Raw genomic sequence first — 25,707 nt, forward strand, 5'->3', positions numbered from 1 at the left:
CGTCTCAAAAAAAAAAAGATTACAAGTCATCTTAAATCCTCAAAAATTGGTACAGGCACTGGTACTGCCTGCCACACAGACCTGGATATCTACAATGGGAGCTCCAAACATCTTTCAAGAGAAACATAATACATTTTCTAAAAATCTGTCTTCTGCCCCAAACTGCTTCATAAAACCAAAGCAAACAATGCTACCATTTTTCTAGCTATGCTAATAGTACTAGCAGACTCAAAGGACTCACAACTGGGAAACTATGTTAAAAAACAGAAAGTCCTAATTAGCCTGACACCTTTAAAACGAAACCTTCCAGGGGGATAAGATGATTTTCTTTTGGCATTAACAGGCACTATCAAATCTAACTCATCCATTACTCACCTTATCAAAAAATAACGATTCTGTTCCACCACCATGTTTGCTGGCATCTGCCATAGAAGAATCCTTCAGATTGAGCAGTTTGGGTTTCTTCTGCAAAAGAAAGATACAAACATGTGAGATTCAACGAGTGGTTTTCTCTGAATTTTATTTTTGTCTGTATTCAATGGTTTCATCACTGAAACCACTGCTGATTAATAATTTGAAACAAATGAGAGAACTCTAACCAACTCACTCCATACCCTCTAAGATTTCAACTCATATTTTCTATTTCAGTTTGCCTATTAAGTTTCTTTCTACAACAGAGGTTCAAAGATCATTCTACCCCCAAAATATTTTCTCCAGAAATGATCATGACATTACTGTGACAAACTTTTAGAATATCCTTACTTTTTCTAGGGGCCCAAAGTAACTTCATGTAGAATCTAATGCCACTGTTTTGTTCTCCTACCAGCTGAGGGAGAAAAGGCTGTTTGTAAAAAGAGCTCACAAATTGACAGAAATCAATCTTTAACCCTGAATAATATTTCAATTAAAAATTTACTTAAAAAGCATAATTTGCTGGGCATGGTGACTCATGCCTGTAATCCCAGCACTTTGGGAGGCCAAGGTGGGCAGATCATGAGGTCAAGAGATTGAGACCATCCTGGCCAACATGGTGAAACCCCGTCTCTACTAAAAATACAAAAAAATTAGCTGGGCGTGGTAGTGTGCGCCTATGGTCCCAGCTACTCAGGAGGCTGAGACAGAAGAATCGCTTGAACCCAGGAGGTGGAGGCTGCAGTGAGCCGAGATCACGCCACTGCACTCCAGCCTGGGCAACAGAGTGAGACTCCATCTCAAAAAAAAAAAAAAAAAAAAAAAAAAAAAGGCACGCCAGCAATATCCACTCAGACTAATTTAATATTGTTCTTCTAAAGGGAACCAACAGGCCATGATATAATCCTGTCAGGCAAGAAGTTACTTTTAAAATCCACCACTTACTCTCTATGAAGAAATGCACAAACTTTGTGAGAAGTAGCACATTTACCTTGGCTATCTCAGAGTATACTTTCTTAAGAGCCGCAGCCTCTGCTTACACTGCCTATGGAGAAAGTAGGCGGAGAATTTTAAGCCCCCACTATATTCTTGCCACCTGTAGGTAATCAAGAGTGGGCGGACGTAAATCCAAGCATGGAGTGTATCTACTGAGCTGATTCTTGCTACCCATATAACTAATTCTCTTTATTGAAATGAAGAAATAGAAACCATTATTATGTTCAACTTGATTTCAAAAGATTTCAAAAGAAGAAACCATGACAAACACTAATGAAAAGGATACTTCAAAAGTGTCAGTAACACCTAGTACGTCAGACCTTGTAGTCAGTCAATCACTATTCATCAGCCACCTCTTACTATTAGAAATTCCCAAACTTTTGTCATTATTTAATTCTGCAGACATATCTGTCTCTTCTATATTACATACTGCTTTGAAATTCACTGAAGAATTAAACATTCAATACATACAACTAGCCCTCTCCCTATCATAGCTGTGTTACATCAAAGAAGGGAGCAAGCTAAGTTTTCTGCAGGCAGACCATCAGTGTTAACTATAACAAAAAACATCATGTAATGGATTACTAAGAGGAGTTTAAGACTTCCCTCTGCTACAGCCCAAAGGTCCTGCCTTGGAGATTAAGATGATACACATAAGATCTGGTAACCCAACAAAGAACTTTGAGCAGGACAGGGTTCTAGACCAGAGATCTCAAAAAACACATGCACTCTACTCACAAGAGGACCTCAGAGACCACTTATTTCTGAAATAATTCTCAAGCTCAAGAATGTTCTTTCTTAACACAAGGCAGATTTAAAGCATCAAAGAAGAAGGGGCCAGGCGCGGTGGCTCACGCCTGTAATTCCAGCACTTTGGGAGGCCGAGGTGGGTGGATCACCTGAGGTCAGGAGTTCAAGACCAGCCTGGCCAACATGGCGAAACCCCATCTCTACTAAAAATGCAAAAATTAGCTGGGCGTGGTGGCACACGCCTGTAGTCCCAGTTACTCAGGAGGCTGCGGCAGGATAATTGCTTGAACCCGGGAGGCAGAGGTTGTAGTGAGCTGAGATCACACCACTGCACTCCAGCCTGGGCGACAGAGCAAGACTCCATCTCAAAAAAAAAAGAAGGGAAAAAAATTTCAAGTATTGGAAATTCTTAGTAGCAACCAAAACATTAAAGAAATGACAGCTCATTGCAAAGGAGAGATAATAAAGAACTCAGAAAAGTACAGTAATCCAAGCAATCAATGTTATTCTAATACTCTTTTGCAAAGCCAGATAAACTCTGCACTGAGTTTCTGTGACACAATACTAACTTCCTCCAAATATCTAGGACCCAACCGTTAACACACTTAAGAACACATGACTGCCGGGCACAGGTAATCCCAGCACTTTGGGAGGCCGAGGCGGGCAGATCATGAGGTCAGGAGATCGAGACCATCCTGGCTAACACGGTGAAACCCCGTCTCCACTAAAAAAAAAAAAAAATCAGCCCGGTATGGTGGCATGCGCCTGTAGTCCCAGCTACTCGGGAGGGCGAGACAGGAGAATCGCTTGAACCCGGGAGGCAGAGGTTGCAGTGAGCCGAGATCGTGCCACTGCACTCCAGCTTGGGCGACAGAGCGAGACTCGGTCTCAAAAAAACAAAAAAAAACAACAACAACAAAACACATGACCACCTCTAGAGTACCTCTCCATTAGAAATACTTGTGAGTGTCAAAATGAGCAGCTGCTGCCCATTCTCACCTTAACTGGAGGGGTGGTTCCTGTAGGATGTCTGCGGATCTGGCAGCCATTCTGGCTGGGCCTCTGCGGCTTGTTGTTCAGTTGGGGCTTCTTGACAGTGCCTCCATGATCATTTCTCACAGAATCAACCTTCTCAGCAGTTGTTTTGCTTAAAAGCTGATTAAGACACATGAATGAGATTAATGCTCTTATCAAAGCAAACAAATATCATCTAGGAAAAGTCCCCTTCTGAGCACAGTTTTCCAACTCATCTAAGATAATAATAGTAAATAGTGTAATTCTTATTAAAAAAACATACCACGGAGCTGTTGGCATCTGGTAGGAATTGTCCAAACTCTGACAACAAATCTTCCTGGTTTTTAAAGAGACGAGCAACCTGGGCATACACCTCCTGCTCTGTCAATGCTGGAGTGTAGTTTCCTCCAGCTTCCTTGGCATTTCTCTGCTCTTTCTGAGGAATTGCAAATGAAAAGAGATCATTTGGGCTACTGTTTTGAGTCACTCATCTTTGCACGCTTTCTGGAATCACTGTTATCTATTTAGGCTGCATGTAAGAAGAAAGTCTATGTTCTTAGCACCCGTTCTGACCACAGACTTTCAAGTTGAGAAAAAAAAAAAGTTGAAGATGGTGGATGACAATTCCTTTCAAAACTAGGGTAGTAAATATTTTTGAGACGGAGTTTCACTCTTGTTGCTCAGGCTGGAGTGCACTTGTCTCGGCCTCCCAAAGTACTGGGATTACAGGCGTGAGACACCATGCCCGGCCTAGGGCAATAAATATTAATGCCCAGGGGACCACTACCAACTGACAAAACCTTAGAAATTTCTCCTCCTCCTACTGTACATTAACTAGACTATATAAATCACCATCTAACTGTCCCAGATAAAACTGAGTTTCATTTCATGGGACAGTGACTAACAATCCTGACTGAGGCCGGGCACGGTGGCTCATGCCTGCAATCCCAGCACTTTGGGAGGCCATGGCGGGTGGATCACCTGAGACCAGCCTGGCCAACATGTTGAAACCCCGTCTCTACTAAAAATACAAGAAATCACTTGAACCCGGGAGGTAGAGGCTGCAGTGAGCCGACACTGCACTATTGCACTCCAGCCTAGGCAAAAAGAGCAAAACTCTGTCTCAAAAAAAAAAAAAAAAATCCTGACTGAATGTTGCAGGGCAATCAAGTCAGGCAAATAAAACTGGCTTTATAGCATGGGGGCGGTGGCTCACGCCTGCAATCCCAGCACTTTGGGAGGCCAAGGTGGGCAGATCACAAGGTCAGGAGTTCGAGACCAGCCTAGCCAACATAGTGAAATCCCATTTCTACTAACAATACAAAAAATTAGCTGGGCGTGGTGGGCGGAGCCTGTAATCCCAGCTACTAGGGAGGCTAAGGCAGGAGTATCACTTGAGCCCGGGAGGCGGAGACTGCAGTGAGCTGAGATCGTGCCACTACACTCCAGCCTGGGTGACAGTGCAAGACTCCGTCTCGAAAAACAAACAAACAAACAAACTGGCTTTAAAAACATGCATGATAGTTTCTAACTGGTTAATTTCCAGTATGAATTAATGGACACAATAATGGTTACTTGTTATTGGACTAGATGCCCTAAGAGGGTGACCTGGTTAAGACAGGCTGAATGGGCACTCCTTACCTGATATGTGTGCAAAATCTCCAGGAATGCTTTGTAGATGTCTGGTTGGCCCTGAAATCTGTTCTTGATCTTATTAACATAGTTGATGGCATGATTAAACTCCACAGGTTGATTGTTCTGCAAGGATGGGGCCGTTCCCAACGAGATTGTCACTGGTGTGTGAGGCTGGACCGGCGGAGAACGTGGGGATGCATACGGTGGAAGTGGGGGAGTCTGCTGACTGGCCGGAGTATGTGCTTGCAGTTGGGAGGGCTAGAAAGAAAAGAAATCTTTATTCTCTTCAGATGCATAGATGAGTTGATACAAGGAAAGTTCAAACTAAAGAGAAACAAGGTGTCAACGTATATCCTTTATTTACTCACTCAGGCCAGGTCATTTTAGTCCAACACAAATCATACTGGGCAGCAGTGGGAGTTGTAGGCGGTTCAAACATGCTGATACAAATATTTCAGTCTCACATTTTCTAAATAAAACCTTAAAACTGGAGCCATCTCCAATTACAGGGAAGAATTTTTCATATGCAATGTTTTAGCTTAGTAGCTCAACAAGTACACATAGAAAAAATCTCATTCTACATAGCCTTTTGATGTCAACAACAAGACAACTGTTGCAGTAGCTCCACATAAAAAAGTCTTCTACGCCAACTCTGTCCTGTAGAACTGAGATGATGGAAATGTCCTTTATTTGCACTGTCTTATACATAGCCACCAGCCACATGAGGTTACTGAGCACTTGAAAGCTAGTGCAAATGAAAAACTGAATTTAATTTAAATAGTCCTATGTGGCTAGTGGCTACTGTGTCAGACAGTGTGGTTCTAGACCAAGAACACCCCATCTTCATCACCATCACTATCACTATTCATTAGATCTTCTACTTAGCTTGATATAATCTAGTTAGTGAAATAACTTTCATAAAATAACCATGTGGGCAGCAGCACAATTTGACCAGGATAAGACGATGGTTTCTATCTGTGCTGTCAACTACTACTACACAAAGTCACCACCTGTTGGGATGTTCATGGTTTTATAAGCAGAAACTGTAAAAAGAAAGACCTTGAAAGTTGTTGCTGTGTTGATTTAAATAGATACCTAAGTAAGTGATGTGTAAATGTGAACCATGTCATAGTGAAGTTTTCATACAGCATTTTTCTATGACGAAATCTTTGTAACTTTGTTTCTCAGTATCTAAGTCTTATATAAAGGGGAAACATCAAAGGAAGGTGCTCTCTAGGGATGCATTCATATTGATGCAATATTTTCCAAGTGCTCACCTTGCTGACTTTGGCAGGTGGGGGCTGAGGAGCTGGCTGGGCAGGAGCTGGGGCTGACTGGGCTGAAGGCTGGGAAGGATGTTGGGGTGGTGGTTGAGGCTGTGGCTGGATGCCATGGGTGGGAATCTGATGAACCTGGCCAGGAGTTGTCACATTCACCATGTCATTGGTTTGCACCTCAATTTTGTAGCCAGGGGGCAAGAAGGTGTTGAATCCCATTATCAGATCGGGGTGGCCTTTGAATAGCTGGGACACACGACTAATCACTCCTGGGGTGTCGATGCTGATAAAAAACAAAAAGAAAAGTGATAAACTGTAAGCTTAACAAACACCCTGTTAAGAAAAAATTTCATGTTTTTTTTTCTTTTGAGACGGAGTCTCACTCTGTTGCCCAGGCTGGACTGCAATGGTGCAATCTTGGGGTCTTGGCTCACTGCAACCTCCACCTCCCGAGTTCAAGTGATTCTCCTGCCTCAGCCTCCCAAGTAGCTGGGATTACAGGCATGCGCCACCATACCCGGCTAATTTTTGTATTTTTAGGACAGGTGGGGTTTCACCATGTTGGCCAGGCTGGTCTCGAACTCCTGACCTCAGGTGATCCGCCCACCTTGGCCTCCCAAAGTGCTGGGATTACAGGCATGAGCCACCTCACTCAAAATTTCACTTTCTACTAGGTTTTCTCTAAACAGGAAAACAGATCATCTACGCATTTTAAAATTAACACACGAACTCTGAAATTCCAAAGCCATTTAGTTTTAGACTCAAAGATACTTGGCCACAATTTGTTTTTTTTTTTTTTGAGACAGAGTCTCATTCTGTTGCCCAGGCTGGAGTGCAGTAGCACAATCTCGGCACACTGCAGCCTCCGCCTCCTGGGTTCAAGCAATTCTCCTGCCTCAGCCTCCCAAGTAGCTGGGATTACAGGCACCCGCCACCATGCCCGGCTAATTTTTGGAATGGTCAAAATTTTTAACAGAATATATGTTCATTGTAATAATTCTACCAAGCAGATACTCAGATGATATATATAAAGCTACATATCCCAAACAAGATTCACTCTTTGATATACCAGTATACATCATTTCAGCACACATCTACATTGTTCAGATGAGTTACACTCTTACAACAGTGAACCATGCCAGAATATAAGGGTATCTAAACCAATTCAGAAACCAAGTAGCCTAAATCACTACCAGTGCTACTTCCCTGATTGAGACAAAACACTGGAAAAAATTTAGTTAAGGAAAATTTACCAATAGGGATAAAAAAGTCTAGTGGCCATAATTTCCATCAATAAAGGTATGCATAAAATAAAGGCATGATTTTGAAAATTCAGCTGCAAAAAGGAGCATCCTTTATCTTCCAGTAAATAAACTATATCCTCTTCCTTCCAAAATCAATATGCCAGATACAAAGCTTGAGTACAATCACACATCTTTTACCTCTGAGATTTAAATTCCTTCATGATGTCAAGGAAATCATTGTAGACCTGAGGCTGACTACCAAACTGCAGCTTCACCTGGTCAAGATAAGATAGCGCATCCTCCACCTGAGGCAGGGATAAATATCAAGGTTATAAAAAGAAAGTAAGCTCATAATTACAAAAAAAAAACAAAAACAAATTATTTATGCCTAAGTATGCTTAATGCAGTAAATGAAGTAAAAATATATTAAATATATACTTAAAAGTTAGTATGGATACCAATAATAAACTCAAGCTTAAAATAATAATCAACTCATAAAATCTGTAGCCTTGCCTTGGAAAATTTTGAACAGAATGATCAGTGAAGAATAATTACAATGATATATCATTTATTAATTCATTTCACAAGTATCTACTAAACTGCAACATACCAGGCCCAATGTGAGTACCAAGGATTCAATGACAAATAATTTGTAGCCCCTCGTCTATAGACATTTGTTTGTATGTAGTCAGGAATCATAACACAGTGGGTAACCCGGTAATCACTCCATGCCTGGAGATGACATGGGAAGGACACGTCTTCTCCACCAAAAAAAGTGAGGCTTCCCCAGGAGGTAATGTATAAACTGAGACCTAAAGATGACTATAAGCTAGCAAAAGTGAAGACCAGTGAAGAAAATCAAAAGCGGCAGCACGGGTAAAATCCTAGACAGGATACGATATGGGATATTTAGAAATCTGAAAACAGTTTAGTTTGGCTGGAGGATCTGTAGTGAAGAGGAAGGAAAAGTAACAAAATGAGACAGAAAAAAAAGCAGGATCTAGATTCTGAAAGGATTTGTAAATCTTGTGAAAAAGCAATTTAGATTTTTATCATCTGCATTTTCGTGTACGCAATTTGACTGCAGTGTTGAGAAAAAATTGGCACAAGAGCAGAAAAGATTGAAAGGAGGTAGGAAGACCAGGTATGCTACAGGAATAACTGGACAACTCATGTGAAAACAGTGGCTTGAATTATAGTACTGGCCCAGAACAACAGAGAGAACTGCATAGATAAAAAAGCTTTTTGGGTAGTAGAAGTGACAGGATTGGGGAACTGACTGAATAGAGGAGCTAAGGGAGAGCCAGCATTCAAAAGTGATCCGCCACGGAGCACTGAGGAAGAACAGTCAAGAGTGACTCTCGGACCGATCAAAGCCCACATGCCACTGCATCCCGCACTCAGCGCTTACATCCTTCCACATCACCACCACACCCAAGAGAAAGCCTGAAGGGGATGCTAAAGGAGATAGAGCCAAGGTGAAGAACAACCCAGAGAAGATCCGCAAGGTTGTATGCTAAACCTGCTCCTCCAAAGCCAGAGCCCAACCCTAAAAAGGATGCAGGCTGGGCGCAGTGGCTGACACCTGCAATCCCAGCACTTTCAGAGGCAGAGGTGGGAGGATCATCTGAGGTCAGGAGTTCGAGACCAGCCTGACCAACACGGAGAAACCCATCTCTACTAAAAATACAAAAATTAGCCAGGCATGGTGGCGCATGTCTGTAATGCCAGCTACTCGGGAGGCTGAGGCAGGGGAATCACTTGAACCCAGGAGGCGGAGGTTGCGGTGAGTCGAGATCATGCCATTGCACACCAGCCTGGGCAACAAGAGTGAAACTCGGTCTCAGGAAAAAAAAAAAAAAAAAAAAAGTCCCCTGCAAAGGAGAGAGAGGAGGTACCCAAAGGGAAAAAGGAAAATGCTGACACTGGCAGGGAGGGGAATAACCTTGCAGGAAATGGAGATGCCAAAACAGACCAGGCACAGAAAGCTGAAGGTGCTAGAGATGCCAAGTGAAACATGTGCATTTTTGGTAACTGTGTACTTCTGGTGACTGTAAAGTTTGAACTATAAAGTTATGAAGTTTGTAAATTTTGAAATACCATTGTTTAAATCAAGCTTTATAAAAATGCAGAATTTTGTTTTGCTTTTTCTAAAGCAGTGTTGTTATCGCACACAGAACACTTCATTGTTGTTTTGGTGGGAAGGATCACAGGTCACTAATAGAATGTCTTTGAAGCTGGACTGACGTGGGGAAAACACCTTTCCCTTCTAGTTTTGAGAGACTTCCTCTTGGCTTATAGAAGAAATTCCCTGACTTTATTTACTTATTTATTTAGAGACAGAGTTTTGCTATTGTTGCCCAGGCTGGAGTGCAGTGGTGCGATCTTGGCTCACTGTAACCTCTGCCTCCGGGGTTCAAGCGATTCTCTTGCCTCAGCCTCCTGAGTAGCTGGGGTTACAGGCACCCGCCAGCATGCCTGGCTAATTTTTGTATTTTTAGTACAGACAGGATTTCACCACATTGGCCAGGCTGGTCTCAAACTCCTGACCACAAGTGATCTGCCAGCCTCAGCCTCCCAAAGTCCTGGGATTACAGGCGTGAGCCACCACACCCAGCCTAGATTCCCTGACTTTTAACACACATGGCCACCTTGGCACAAACACCTTGTGGGATGGAAAAACAAATTCATTTTTACATCCTGTTCTCCCTCCCCACCTTCACAGACCTAACTCCCTTTTACCCAGACACCTGTTGGGACCTAACCCCCAATAACTGGTTACCAATATGTCAGGCAGTCAAACTTTCCAGTGATGCCACTGAAATGGCAGCCCTCAAAAGAGCAGTGGTTGCTTTTTCTAGACTGTGGATCTTCAGATAAGTCCTGCCATTTTCATTTCACTTCCTGAAAGTCAGGGTTGGCTTGTGAAAAGTTGTTAAACAACATGCTAAATGTGAAGTGTCAACCTTCACTCTAAACTTTCCCTGTTCAGAGCATCAAATGAGACTTCACTGGGTTTTATAGTGGCTTTTTTTTTTTTGGTAGCTCATTGTTAAGGATTGTCCATGTTCTGCCTGAAATACCATGACTGTTTTTGGAAAGTATCTTTAAAGCTGGATACAGTTTGGCTGGGGGAGAAAAAAAACTGACCTATCACAAAGAAGAACAGGTTGGAAAGGCTAAGCTATGAGTCTGATTTAGGACAGAGACACCCAAAAGAAATCCCCACTAGGTGTTTCCTATTTACTCTGAGATACGTTAAGTTTTATTTTGGTAGTTTAACTGAAGCCTAAATATTTAAAATTATACAAAATATCAGGTTTAAGAAATTTCAGAAATAAACATTTGATGTGATTTAAGCCAGTCTTTTTCTTTTTTTTTTTTTTGAGATGGGAGTCTCATTTTGTCTCCCAGGCTAGAGTGCAATGGCGCAATCTCGGGTCACTGCAACTTCTGCCTCCTGGGTTCAAGTGATATCTCCTGCCTCAGCCTCCTGAGTAGCTGGGATTCCAGGCGCATGTCACCACATCCAACTAATTTTTTTGTATTTTTAGTAGAGATGGGATTTCACCATGTTGGCCAGGCTGGTCTTGAACTCCTGACCTCAACTGATCCGCCTGCCTCAGCCTCCCAATGTGCTGGGATTACAGATGTGAGCCACCACACCTGGCCAGGCATAGATAGTCTTTTGATTTGTTGCAAAATGGAACATTTACATTCAAGTCAATCATTAACTGGTGCTGTGGTCTGAAATGTGTCCCACAAAATTCTTACATCGAAACTTAATCACCGATATGATGATATTAAGAAGTGAGGCCTTCAGAAAGTGATTGTGGAGCCCTCATGAATGGGATTAGGGACCTTATAAAAGGGCTGGAGTGAACCAGTGTTAGTCCCTTCGGCCCTTCTCCCTTCCAGTGTAAGGACACACATTCAGGGACCATCTCGAAAAACAGAGTTCAGGCCCTCACCAGACACCAAACCAACTGGCACCTGGATTTTATTTTATTATTTATTTTATTTATTATTATTATTATTTTTTTAGATGAAGTCTTGCTCTTGTCTCCCAGGCTGGAGTGCAAAGGCACGATCTCAGCTCAATACAACCTCCGCCTCCCGGGTTCAAGCGATTCTCCTGCCTCAGCCTCTTGAGTAACTGGGATTATAGGCGCCTGCCACCACGCCCAGCTAATTTTTGTATTTTTAGTAGAGATGGGGTGTCACCATGTTGGCCAGGCTGGTCTCAATCTCCTGACCTCGTGATCCGCCCGCCTCGGCCTCCCAACGTGCTGGGATTACAGGCGTAAGCCACTGCGTCTGGCCTATTTATTTATTTTGAGACATGGTCTCACTCTGTCACCCAGGCTGGAGTGCAGTGGCACAAATTCGGCTCACTGCAACTTCCACCTCCTGAGTTCAAGCGATTCTCGTGCCTCAGCCTCCAGAGTAACTGGGATTACAGGTGCATGCCATCATGCCTGGCTCATTTTTTTGTATCTTCGGTAGTTTTACCATGTTGGCCAGGCTGGTCTTGAACTCCTGACTTCAAATGATCTGCCCTCCTCAGCCTCCCAAAGTGCTGGGATTATAGGCGTGAGCCACCGCACCCGGCCAGCACCTTGATTTTAGATTTCCCAGCCCCCAGAACTTCTCCAGAACTGTGAGAAATAAACTGCTATTATTTAGATTATACAGTCTCAGGTATTTTGTTATAGCAGCACTAATGGATTGAGACAAATGGCCGCTTTTTTGTTTTTGTTTTTTTTGAGACAGAGTCTCGCTCTATCGCCCAGGCTGGAGTGCAGTGGCGCTTTCCCGGCTCACCGCAAGCTCTGCCTCCCGGGTTCACGCCATTCTCCTGCCTCAGCCTCCCAAGTAGCTGGGACTACAGGCGCCCGCCACCACGGCCGGCTAATTTTTTTTTCTATTTTTAGTAGAGACGGGATTTCACTGTGTTAGCCAGGATGGTCTCGATCTCCTGACCTCGTGATCTGCCCGCCTCGGCCTCTTAAAGTGCTAGGATTACAGGCGTGAGCCACCGCACCCGGCCCCGAGACAAATGGCTGTTTAAGAGTTCTTCAGACTTCCATTACGGCCATGGTTAATCAGTGTTTCGGTGTTGCTAGAAATCAGATTGTATAGTTGGTCAATACCCACTTGTTTGATGGTTAGTTTTTCTATACAAATATCATGACAATTTCTGTTGAAATTCAATGGACTATTTTAATTCATATTCTGAACTTTCCATACTAAAATGTTTCATTAATGACCAACTTAAGTGAACACAAAATATATTAAGTTTGCAAAAGGAACCAAGACTTTGGAAGATATTTAAGAATAGCATGCATCATTACACAACAAAAGAACAGTTATCAATAAGACATGGTATGGTATAAGGTAACTACTGCAGAGACGGAAAAAGTACAGAAACCCAAAAGAAAGCAATTATGTGTGATATGTATATGTCTGAAACAAAAAGGTACTGAAAGTCACAGCAAACCAAGCAAACCACTGTTTAAAAATTAGTTATAGGCCAGGTGTGGTGGCTCATGCCTGTAATCCTAGTACTCTGGGAGGCCAAGGAGGGTGGATCCCTTGAGGCCAGGAGTTTGAGAGCAGCCTGGCTAACATGGAAAAACCCCGTCCTAGTAAAAAAAAAAAAAAATACAAAAATTAGGCTTGGTGGTGCATGCCTGTAATCCCAGCTATTTGGGAGACTGAGGCATAAGAATCACTTGAACCCAGGCAGGGGAGGGTGCAGTGAGTTGAGATGGCGCCACTGCACTACAGCCTGGGCAGCAGAGTGAGACTCTGTCTCAAAAAAACAAAAAAGTAAAATAAAAGTTATAGAATAATCCTATGCTTTAAAAACTCTGCATGACACTCACATAATAAATAAGACACCTACATGTAAAAATAGTGAGGAAATTCTCTCATCACCTAAAGCATAGTCCAACTCTTATATAAACTCTCTATAAATGCATGTATACAGTTCTAGGTAGCACAACTTAAAAAAAAAACTTGGATGTAGTTATTTAGAAGCTACAGATTTAAGGAAGCACTTGGGGAGACCCTTAGACTCTGCTGATAAAGTTTCTTAGCTCACTTCAACAGGGATTTACTATTAAGGCCCCGAATCTCCTGAAGTCTACAATCTTGTTGGGAGAGAAAAACACAAGCAACTGTAAAGATAACCTGCTAAATATGTACCAAATATCACTGCTGCTGACATTCAATAACTAAATAACACCAAACATGCCTCAAATCGTTCAAATCCCTTCTTGTCACCACCAATCTACCAAAGACAAAAAACAAAAAAAAAAGACAATGTTGAGGCTTGAAATAATGTGTAAGCATTCTCACTGAACATTTCTTTTTTTTTGTTTGTTTTTTCTGAGACGGAGTTTCACTCTTGTCGCCCAGACTCGAGTGCAGTGGTATGATCTTGGCTTACTGCAATCTCTGCCTCCTGGGTTCCAACGATTCTCCTGCCTCAGCCTCCTGAGTAGCTGGGATTATTACAGGCATGCGCCACCATGCCTGGCTCATTTTGTATTTTTAGTAGAGGCATGGTTTCATCACATTTGTCAGGCTGGTCTTGAACTCCTGACCTCAGGTGATCCACCCACCTCGGCCTCCCAAAGTGCTGGGATTACAGGTGTAAGCCACCATGCCCGGCCTACATTATTATAGAATATAAATGATTTATTGAAGTTGATTCAAATGCTTGTAATGCATTTTAAGACTGATCCAAAAATGACAGGCAATGTGGGAATACTGAGTTAAATTACATGGAGGTACAAGAAGCATTTTACCTCTCCTCATCAGAAAGGAAATTCAACAAGTTATTTTATGCAGGAATATAGTCAAGAGCTTGTGACTAAAAGAACACAACAAGAAATCCTAACTCTATCTATGACTCACTCTATAACCCCAAATCCAAAACCTTTCCTTGTTTCCTTGCCAGTTTCCATAAAGCAAACAAAACATAATCCATATACTTATACCAAAGAGTCCTGTGAGGAAGGTGGGTAAAAACTGGTGTTGTGCTTTGATAGGGTTGATTGAAAAAGGCTATAGAAATACATATGTTTTTGTTAGTTTAATAAGCAAGTTTATAAGCTATTTTGCAACATTAAAGTATAACTACTGAATATACAGTGTTAATACAGAATTAAATCACGCACAACCAAGTTTTAAAAAAAATATTTTCAGGACTTAGTAAAGTGCTAAGCCCGCAGCAATAATACATTTTGGTACACAGCCATCACTCTACAACAGACTGAAAATGTTTTAAAGGAAACATCAATATTCCTTATACACATTTTCCCAAAGACAGAATCCAGAGTGAAGCTTCAGGCCTAAAAAACCTGTACTCTCTTTAAAAGGCTATGCATTAGTCAATACTATGTAAGCCAATATAGAGAGTAAATTTTACAAAATTACTCTAAATCACATAGCTTTGCTGTACTTTATAATATTTATGTAGCATTTAATACTCTTAGGCCAATATTAAACAAGTTCCCAAGAATCCACACCAACGAGGGCAGGGATCAAGAAGAACTAAAGTAAGTATCAGGGAAAACAGAAGAAACAACTATTTGCTGCATATGGATATGTCCTTAGAGGGTTTATTTCTCATTCGTGCCTGCAAGCAACATAAGTAGGTTGCAATAACCAAATGAAGATTTAACATCTCTTCAGAGTTCCTCCATTTATTATTTCCTGAACTTAATTTTATATAAACGTAAAATTAGAAAAATTGAAACCTGAACACTTGCTGCAACAATCACATATTTTGAAAAGTAACATTCAAGTGGTCAGAGATACAAGGTTAGCTGGGAACACAAGCTTCACTTCTCCAGGGATGCCTCATGAATTTCAAAGCACTGAAAACGTACCACACATACTCAGCAGAAAATATGAAAACACTGATAATTCATTCACAGTTACAGTTTTCCCTGAACTTTATAAAGATTCCCCCCAAAAAGGAGCATGTGTTTTACTAAGAATGGACTTGATGATGTGAGTCAATTCAGCTATTCATAAACAGGAATAAAAAGATAAAGGTAATAAGAACATTACAGGCATGAGCTGGGCATAGTGGCTCGCACCTGTAATCCCAACACTTTCGAAGGCCAAGATGGGAGAATCACTTGAGGCCAGCAGTTTGAGACCAGCCTGGGGAACACAGTGAGACTCCCATCTCTGAAACTAAAAACTAAAAAAAAAAATTTTTAAGAATTTAAAAAGATTGAACTGTAAGATATATTACTGGGCCAATTTACTGTACTAACCTGTAGCCAATCATATATGTGCTCAATAGAGAGTTCAAAAGGAAGCAGCCAAAAAATGAATTTTAAGGTTTATTTTGTATTAAAATGGCCCCACAATCCTGATAACATTTGACCGACATGCATTCATACAGTCCACAAACATTTGAGTATATTCTTCTCTGGATCAGGCACTGATGCCAAGATAGGAAACATAAGCAAATTTCACAAAACAAAAACGGTAAAACTTGTGATTCGACAGCTAGTATCTCAGGTTAGAAGTTGTACCACCACAACCAACAAGCTGCAACCAGTATTTCCTGCTAAAGATAAATTTTTTGACCCAAGAAAAAGAGCTGAATACCACCTTCAGCCTCTGAAATTGCTGCTGTCCCTGCACTGGTGCAACTGGTGGGGCTGGATGAGCATGACTCTGGACCACCTGGCCTCCGTGGGGCTGCACCGCTGTTGGGTGATGATGGCTGCTATGAACTGCTGCTATAGCGGGCCCATGACTGCCGGAGCTCTGTGGCATGGCTGAAACCTGGGGTGAACAAAATACAGACAGGAAACTTCAAGGCTTGTACATTCTTCCCCAAATGAGTCTAAATAACTAACACAAATGCACAAAGATAATTAATTGGAAACCCAAATTTCTGCTGGGCGTGATGGCTCACACCTATCTCACCTACATAGGAAGATCGCCTGAACTCAGGAGTTCAAGGCTGCAGTGAGCTATGATCATGCCACTGCATTCCAGCTTGGGCCACAGAGTGAGACCACGTCTCTAAAAAGAGAAAAGAAAGCCTGGGCAACATAGTGACACCCATCTCCACAAAAAATAAAAACTTGGCCAGGCATGGCAACATGCACCTGTGGTCCCACCTACTCCAGAGGCTAAAGGAGGAGGATTGCTTGAGTCCAGGAGTTCAAGGCTGCAGTGAGCTGTGATCACACCACTGCTCTCTAGCCCAGGTGACAGAATGAGACCGTCTCTAAAAAAAAAGAAAGAAAAGAAAAAGAAAGAAACCCAAATTTTCCACAAAAGGAACTGGTTAAATAAATTACAGCCCACCAAAGTTATAACAAAATTATTTGTAGCTATTAAAAATTATATAGCCGGGCACGGTGGCTCATGCCTGTAATCCCAGCACTTTGAGAGGCCAATGCAGGCGGATCACGAGGTCAGGAGATCGAGACCATCCTGGCTAGCATGGTGAAACCCCGTCTCTACTAAAAATACAAAAAATTAACCAGGCGTGTTGGCGGGCACCTACAGTCCCAGCTACTCGGGAGGCTGAGGCAGGAGAATAGCGTGAACCCAGGAGGCGGAGCTTGCAGTGAGCCAAGATCGTGCCACTGCAATCCAGCCTGCACGACAAAGCAAGACTCCATCTCAAAAACAAACAAACAAAAAAATATATATATAGTTTAGCTGGGAACAGTGTCTCACACCTGTAACCAGCACTTTGGGAGGCCCAGGCAGACAGATCACTTGAGTTCAGGAGCTTGAGACCAGCCTGGCCAACATGGTAAGACCCTGTCTCTACTGAAAATACCAAAAAAAATAGCTGGACGTGGTAACACGCATCTGTAATCCCAGCTACTGAGAGGCTGAGGCACGGTAATCACTTGAACCTGGGAGGTGGAGGTTGCAGTGAGCTGAGATCATGCCACTGCATTCCAGCCTAGAAAACAGAGCAAGACTCTGTCTCCAAAAAGAAGAAAAAAAATTATATAGTTTATCTCAAACTGTCTGTGGTAAAGGATGAGTTTTTTTCTTAAAATTTCAATCCATCAGGGACCACAACTTTTATAAAAATCCAATAAAAATAAATTACTATGAAAGTGAAATAAAAAATACATAAACCCGCCGGGCGTGGTGGCTCATGCCTGTAATCCCAGCACTTTGGGAGGCCGAGGTGGGCGGATCACCTGAGGTTGGGAGTTCTCGAGACCAGCCTGACCAACATGGAGAAACCCCATCTCTACTGAAAATACAAAATTAGACAGGCATGGTGGCGCATGCCTGTAATCCCAGCTATTCGGGAGGCTGAGGCAGGAGAATTGCTTGAACCAGGGAGGTGGAAGTTGCGGGGAGCTGAGATCACGCCACTGCACTCCAGCCTAGGCAACAAGAGTGAAACTCCATCTCAAAAAACAAAACAACAAAAATACATAAACCCGTAATTTTTTTTCTTACCTTTTTATTGAGACAGGGTCCCGCTCTCTCACCCAGGCTGGAGTGCAGTGGTACAATCATGGCTCACTGCAGCCTTGACCTCCCCAGGCTCAGATGATCCTCCCACCCCAGCTTCCCGAGTAGCTGGGACTACAGGCATGTACCACCATGCCTGGTTAATTGTCGTACTTTTTGTAGAAACAGGGTTTCAACATGTTGCCCAGGCTGGTCTTGAACTCTTGGGTATGGAGTCCACCTGCCTTGGCCTCCCAAAGTGCTGGGGTTATAGACGTAAGCCACTGTGCCCAGCCTGTAACTTTCATTACTGGATTTTACAAATAAAAAATGATCATGTCCAATTGCTCTAATAGTTTCTAAACAATTTCTATACTTATGCCATTACAAACTAGTAACAAAGGATACAGATTAGCCATTTTTAAGCCACACTTCAACAATGATATATATGGATATATTTGAATCTGAAAAAAAAGTTCATAATCCACAAGTTGAACATATTCATGTACTGTATATAAACTTTTAAATAGTTTTTTAAAGCACATTACACTGGCTGACAAAGACCCTGTCTCAAAAAAATAATAAAAGCACATTACAAAGCAGTATGATAAAAAGATTTCAAACCTTAGACAACTAATATATAGCAAAATGTTGGCATTTAATCTTGTGGTTACAGAATTAAAGATGACTCTTACTTTGTTTCTTTTTGTTTTTGAAACACTCTCGCTCTATCGCCCAGGCTGGAGTGCAGTAGCACAATTTCGGCTCACTGCAACCTGTGCCTCCCAGGTTCAAGCGATTCTCCTGCCTTAGCCTCCTGAGTAGCTGGGATTACAGGTGCCTGCCACCATGCCCAGCTAATTTTTGTATTTTTAGTAGAGACAGGGTTTCACCCTGGTTAGACTGGTGTCGAACTCCTGACCTCAAATGATCCACCCGTCTTGGGCTCCCAAAGTGCTGGGATTACAGGTGTGAGCCACCGCGCCTGGCCTACTTGGCTTATTTTGCTTATCTTGATTTGCTACGAGCACTGTATCTAATGTAAAATAAATTTTTTCCCCCTAATTCTTGATGGTTTGGCCTCAAACAAATGTCTTTTCTATTCTTTTATCTCAGTCTTTCTCCTGTCCTCTTACAAGTTTGAGGAAATAAAAGCCAAAACTACTTTCCTTCTATATCTATTTCAAGAAATGCTACAAAATTTTTTTCAGAACTTTTTTCCTTTTTCAGAATTGTTGATCACCACAGAAGACAACAATCTGTCCAAATGCCCAAATGCCCCATCCCCAAAATAAGGAGACTAAATAACATGAAACTTTCTTTCTCTAAACAATGTTAAGTTTTATACCACAATTTAAGAGAGAATAAAACTTTTTTTCAAATCCTCACTTTTATAAAAATTATCCTGGAGGGAGATGAAGAAATGAGGGAGAGGGAGAAACCAAGCAACTATGCATAAATCCACAGAAACAAAACAAGGTGTATTAAGAGTAAAAAGAAACTATTTAGACAATTCTAAAAGCTCTAATGTACCTCAAAGATGGGCTAGTATTCTGAGCTTCTGTATTCCAACATGCATGTTTTTTACAGGGTTTACAGGCTTTCACTAGACTGACTTATACAAACACATTATAGTTTCCATTCGGAAGAAATTTAACTATCCCAAATGTAGAAAACAGTCATTAACCTGTTTAGATAATGAAAGTAATCACCCAAGGTAAACAAGCAACTTTTTTTTCTTCCAAGTCCTAAAAGATGCCATCTGTTGGCAGTCTTCTGACTGCTGCCCCAGCCCCACAGGAAGGGATTAGACAGCCTCAAGGGGACTCCTGAGGAAGAGTGACACCTAAGGAATCACCATTTCCTACTTCAGCTGCATTTCCTCTTCTTTATATTTTTATACTAAATTCCTAGAAATGGAATTGCCAGGTCAAAAACTAACAAAACCATCTGACACAAACTGCCAAATTGCTCTCAAAAAAGATTACGTCAGTTTATATTCCCATTACCAGCCGTACATTTTTAAGGTCACTAACAAATGAGGTTGAAGGCCTCCCCAGACCAGTTATATGCTGAAGTAGAAAGATATCCACTATATATTAAATGAAAAGAGCAAACAGCACAATAGTATGTAATGTATGATCCACATTGTACAAAAAGAAAAGCAGAAAGGGCGGACGAGGTGGCTCATGCCTGTAATCCTAGCAGTTTGGGAGGCCGAGTCGGGCAGATCACTTGAGTCCAAGAGTTCAAGACCAGCCTGGGAAACATGGTGAAACTCTGTCTCTATAGAAAAAATACAAAAATTAGCCAGGTGTGGTGGCATGCACCTGTAGTCCCAACTACTTGGGAGACTGAGGTGCTAGGATTGCTTGAGCCCAGGAGGTGAAGGGTGCAGTGAGCTGAGATCATGCCACAGCCTTCCAGCCTGGGCGAGAGTGTGACTCTGTCTCAAAAAAAAAAGTAAATTTAGATAGCTAGACAGGTTGATATAGATGAGCTTGTATATGCATATAAAACTGGATACCCAAGAAATTCACCAGTGGGAGAAAATCTGAGGTGTGACAGAAAAAAAGTCATTTTATATCCTTTTTTTAAAAAAAAATCAAAGTGTGGCAGGGTGCAGTGGCTCACACCTGTAATCCCAGCACTTTGGGAGGTCAAGGCAGGCAGATCACTTAAAACCAGGAGTTTAAGACCAGCCTGCCCAACATGGCAAAACCCTGTCTCTACTAAAAATACAAAAATTAGCCGGGCATGGTGGCTTGCGCCTGTAATCCCAGCGACTCAAGAGGCTGGGGCATGAGAATCACTTGAACCTGGAAGCCAGAGGTTGCAGTGAGCCAAGATCACGCCACTGCACTCCAGCTGGGGCGACAGAGCGAGACACCATCTCAAAAAAATAAAATAAGGCCGGGTGCAGTGGCTCACGCCTGTAATCCCAGCACTTTGGAAGGCAGACAGGCGGATCACCTGAGGTCAAGACCAGCCTGGCCAGCACAGCGAAACCCCATCTCCACTAAAAATACAAAAATTAGCTGGGCGTGGTGGTGCACGCCTGTAATCCCAGCTACTCGGGAGGCTGAGGCAAGAGAATCGCTTCAACCTAGAAGGCAGAGGCTGCACTGAGCCAAGACTGAACCATTGCACTCCAGCCTGGGCAACAGACAGAGAGTCTGTCTCAAAAATAAATAAATAAATAAATAAAATAGGCTAGGCGTGGTGGCTCACACCTGTAATCCCGGTACTTTGGAAGGCCAAGAGGGGCAGATCACCTGAGGTCAGGAGTTCGAGACCAGTCTGGCCCACATGGCGAAACCCCATCTCTACTAAAAACACAAAAAATTAGCCAGGCATGGCAGCAGGTGCACGTAATCCCAGCTACTCGGGAGGCTGAGGCAGGAGAATCACTTGAGCCCGGGAGGCAGAGGTTGCAGTGGGCCGAGATCGCACCACTGCACTCCAGCCTGGGTGATAAGAGCGAAACTCCATCTCAAAATAAATAAATAAATAAATAAATAAATGAATAAAATAAAAAATAAAAAAACCAAAGTGATACATTACTTTCATAATAAAAAAGGGCAAAAACCAAATTTCTTCACTTCTACAAAACAGAGTAACAGATGAATGATCAGTGTTGGTCAGGACATAGAACAGGAATATACAATGCTTGGGGGAACTTGCTAAAGATGCATATACCCTGTGACACAGCAATCCCTTTCATAGGTACTTGACAAACTCTTGTATGTCCTCAAACCTGCTGACTGGTTTCCAACAGGTTAAGGAGTTTGCACCACAATGTAAACCAACGATGGTAGACCCTTGAATAACACGGGTTTTTGTTTTGTTTTTAAGGAGACAGGGTCTTGCACTGTTGTCCAGTCTGAAGTACAGTTGCTTGATCACAGCTCACTGCAGCCTTGACTTCCTGGGCTTGAGCAATCCTCTCACCTCAGTCTCCCGGGTAGCTAGGACTACAGATGCACACCACTATGCCTGGCTAATTTTTTATTTATTTTTTCAAATTAATTAATTAATTCTTTCTTTTTGAGACAAGTTCACACTCTGTCACCCACGCTGGGTGCGGAAGCATATTCACTGGAGCCTCAACCTCCCAGGCTCAAATGATCCTCTCACCTCAGCCTCCCAAGTAGCTAGGAACACAAGTGTGCACCATTACGCCCTGCTAATCTTTATTTTTAGGAGAGACGGGGCTTGCTATGTTGCCCAGGCTGATCTCAAACTCCTGGGCTCAGGCAATCCTCATGCTTCCAACTTCGCCAACTGTTGGGATTATGGGTGCGAGCCACTGCACTCAGCAACAACACAAGTCCACTTATACATGGATTTTCTCCCACCTCTGCCAACCCTGAGATGGCCAGACTAACCCTTCATCTTCTTTCTCCCTCCTCCTCAGCCTCCTCAATGTGAAGACAAGGATGAAGACCTTTATGATGATCCACTTCCACTTAATAAATGGTAGATATATTTTCTCTTCCTTATGATTTTCTTAGTATTTTGTTTCTTCTAGATTATTTTAAGAATATAGTATATGACAAATATACAAAATACATGCTAATCAACCATTTATGTTATCGGTAAAGCTTCTGGACAATAGGCTATTTGTATTTAAGTTTTAGGGGAGTCAAAAATTATACATTGGCCAGACGCAGTGGCTCAGACTTGTAATCCCAGCTCTTTGGGAGGCTGGCTGGGGGAGGATAGCTTTGGGCCAAGAGTTTAGGACCAGCCTGAGCAACACAGCAACACCTCATCTCTACAAAAATCATAAAAATTAGCCAGGCATGGTGGTGTGCACCTGTAGTCCTAGCTACTAGGGAGGCTAGGGCACGGGAGGACTGCTTGAGCCCAAGAGTTTGAGGCTGCAGTGAGTCATGATCGCACCACTACACCCCAACAGGGGCCACAGAGCAAGACACTATCTCCTAAAAAAAGAAAAAGGAAAAAAGTTATACATGTATTTTTGACTGCATGGGGGGAAGTCAGTGCCTCAACCCCCACACTGTCCAAGAGTCAGCCATATTTCACTACAATGATGTTTAATTCAGCTGTCTTTTTTAAAAATAAATAGCAAAACTGTCTTAATAAGTGCGTTGATTTAAATTCTGGCACAAGCTTCTTATTTTGTCATGAATTGCCACTGAGTGCACTAAGACAATATCACAATGTTCACAGCAGCACCTTTGTAAAAGCAAAAACCTGGAAACAGCCCAATAGTCCAACAGTAGAATTGACAAATAAATTGAGTATATGCATGTAATTTACACTACAGTGAAAATGGTGGAATTACAGCGATCTATAAAAATATGGGGTTTTTAAAACAAAGTGAGTCAAAGAAGAAAATGTTTCCATTTATATAAAAGTTCAAAAATACCGAAACTAAACAATTATGTTAGTTTTTTTAAGTAAATAAAGTCAAGGGAATGATAAATACAAAGTTTAGATCAGTGGCTACCTCTGAAGGGAGGGAAAAGAAGGGAGCAGAGTGGGATACGCAGGGAACTTCAAAGGTCATGACAACATTCTTTTTTTAAAAACTTGTATGGTGAGTACACAGTTATTTTTTTTTTTACCTTACACATACTCAACAATTTTTAATATCTAACACAGTATTAAAAAAAGTTTTATAATTGCCTAAAACCACTATTTCTCTTCCCTCATTCTAGTCCCTTGGTTGGCTCCAGCTTACCTGGTAGCTGGGTGTTACAGAGTACTGAATTCCCGTAGCTGACTGCATGGTCTCAGACACTGCTTCATACACAGGAGGGGCAGGGGCAAGCACCCGGTGCTGGTGAGGAAAAGCCTCTGTGCTGCCAGGGATCCGACGCTGCTGGGCTGCATACACCGGTGACTCCTGGTCATCCAAACGCCGCTTCATTCTGTGCTCATGCTCAGGGATGCACTACAAAACCTGCAGAAACCAAAAGCAATAGCATGCAAGTCAATTCTCACTCCAGTATGATGTACGCCACTTAGGACCAGTCACCCAAGTTTAGTAAAAGCTTGACTCCCAGAACTGATCATCTATTTCATCTTAGTGATGAAGTTTAAGTGCATGTGGGCATACCACCCCCCAACACAGTGAACAAGTTATAACTGAAAAAGACAAATATTTAAATAACATAATTTTAATTAATTTGGTATTATGAAGTTGAAAAATACGCTCCAATTTAAAAATATAAACACAACCTTGTTTCCCTTTATTCTCTAGTTTTCTCCTCAAATGCTATCACTCCTAATATTAATTACATATCTACATGCTGCAAAAATATTCAAGTGCTTCTTCTTTTTTTTTTTGAGACGGAGTCTCACTCTGTTGCCCAGGCTGAGTGCAGTGGTGCCATCTCGGCTCACTGCAAGATCCACCTCCCGGGTTCACGCCATTCTCCTGCCTCAGCCTCCCGAGTAGCTGGGACTACAGGCACCCGCCACCACACCCGGCTACTTTTTTTGCATTCTTAGTAGAGACGGGGTTTCACCGAGTTACCCAGGATGGTCTCGATCTCCTGACCTTGTGATCCATCCGCCTCAGCCTCCCAAAGTGCTGGGATTACAGGCGTGAGCCACCGCGCCCGGCCTCAAGTGCTTCTTCTTAAATCCTCTCAAAACCTACTACTATAATTGTGGTCTAATTTAAAATTTGTTTCAACAATTATAATGGTATCATGGAAAGAATACCGTGCCAGGAATGGGAAGACAAAGATTCTAGACTTGCCAATTTAAGATGCTACGTAACTTCAACAAGTTCCTCATTCTATGTGAATTTCAGTTTCTCCAACTATAAAATAAGAAAAGTTGGAACAGATCACTCCTAAATTTTCTTCTGGTTTTAACAGTTATAAGAAGAGATTCTCTTAGCTTAATAATACCTCCGTGGGAGACAATTTCATTCCTGCAGGACACAGTAATCTACTTGGCCCAGTAATCTACTTGGGTCTTCAGAGCTTTTCCATATCAGTATCACTAACACAAGCATAACACACCATCAGTGAGAAAGAATGAATCAGCCATCCAAAGAAAAAAGGCCCCACCACTTTTCCAGTCCCAAAAAAATCTCTTAAATAAGATACCACTGCTATGGAAAGAAGATAAAATTTACAGTAATAGTGGGAGATTTGGCAAGCCACCCCCTCATCTGAAATACGGTTAAGTTAAAAAAAAAAAAAATCTTTACCTAATTCATAAGTCTACCCAAGATCTTTTCTTTATCCTCTGGGAGCACACAAGCCCTGAAGGGAAAGTAGTCTTTACAAGGACTCTCCATGGCTGTTTCACCTTTTCTTTGTCCTCACTATAGTCCTCAATCTGCCTGCCACTCTAATCCTTAGCTCTGAAATCCTGTCTCAGGTTTTTCTCACATTTCACATACCTAAGTGGGACCCTGACACAGCAGCACAACCCATTAATTTGCAAGCTGGCTACTTTTATCTATTTGTAAACTCAAGCCACAAATATGCTCTCTGTGGCCTATATAACTTCAGACTAAGTCTCTCAGCTTTGTGTGTGATAATATGTGGAACTCAGTTAAATGGAGTTGAGAACGTTTCTGACAGCTGCTGAGGACAAATAATTTAAAATGTCTTAGCTAGTTATGCTTTCCTATGTTTTTCTAGCATGAAATAGCATGTTTAGCTTAGTATTCAAAAACCTTTTAGACATATTAAGAGGTTGAGTATATAGATTTATGCATGTTATTTGCCACTAATCAACTACGAACACTAAACCTCAGCGTGTTTTGGGATGAGGAACTGAGTCTAATCACAGGTAGAGTAAAATGTCTTTTTAGCTATTTCTTATATACGTTCATGACTTTCAGTGGTTTGGTCTTGGGTTCTGTTGGTTTAAAACTGATGCTTAACTCATCGGAGATTAACCTCTGTAACCAAAAA

General features: G+C 42.0%; 1 protein-coding gene across 12 annotated transcripts in view; it reads right to left on the reverse strand.

The window, feature by feature from the left end:
* SIN3A (SIN3 transcription regulator family member A) overlaps positions 1-25,707 on the reverse strand; it is an 86,437-nt gene that overhangs the window by 37,301 nt on the left and 23,429 nt on the right. For all 12 annotated transcript variants that reach the window (NM_001437463.1, NM_001145357.2, XM_047432362.1 and 9 more), the window contains 8 exons: positions 23,508-23,729; positions 15,968-16,144; positions 7,526-7,632; positions 6,084-6,366; positions 4,813-5,064; positions 3,455-3,607; positions 3,157-3,312; positions 376-465 (listed from right to left, as the gene is read on the reverse strand). In NM_001437463.1, coding sequence (NP_001424392.1) covers positions 376-465; positions 3,157-3,312; positions 3,455-3,607; positions 4,813-5,064; positions 6,084-6,366; positions 7,526-7,632; positions 15,968-16,144; positions 23,508-23,696 — 1,407 coding nt within the window. In that variant the 5' untranslated portion in view covers positions 23,697-23,729. The remainder of the gene's footprint in view (positions 1-375; positions 466-3,156; positions 3,313-3,454; positions 3,608-4,812; positions 5,065-6,083; positions 6,367-7,525; positions 7,633-15,967; positions 16,145-23,507; positions 23,730-25,707) is intronic.

The sequence above is a fragment of the Homo sapiens genome, chromosome 15 (genome assembly GCF_000001405.40).
Source record: "Homo sapiens chromosome 15, GRCh38.p14 Primary Assembly".
NCBI lineage: Eukaryota > Metazoa > Chordata > Mammalia > Primates > Hominidae > Homo > Homo sapiens.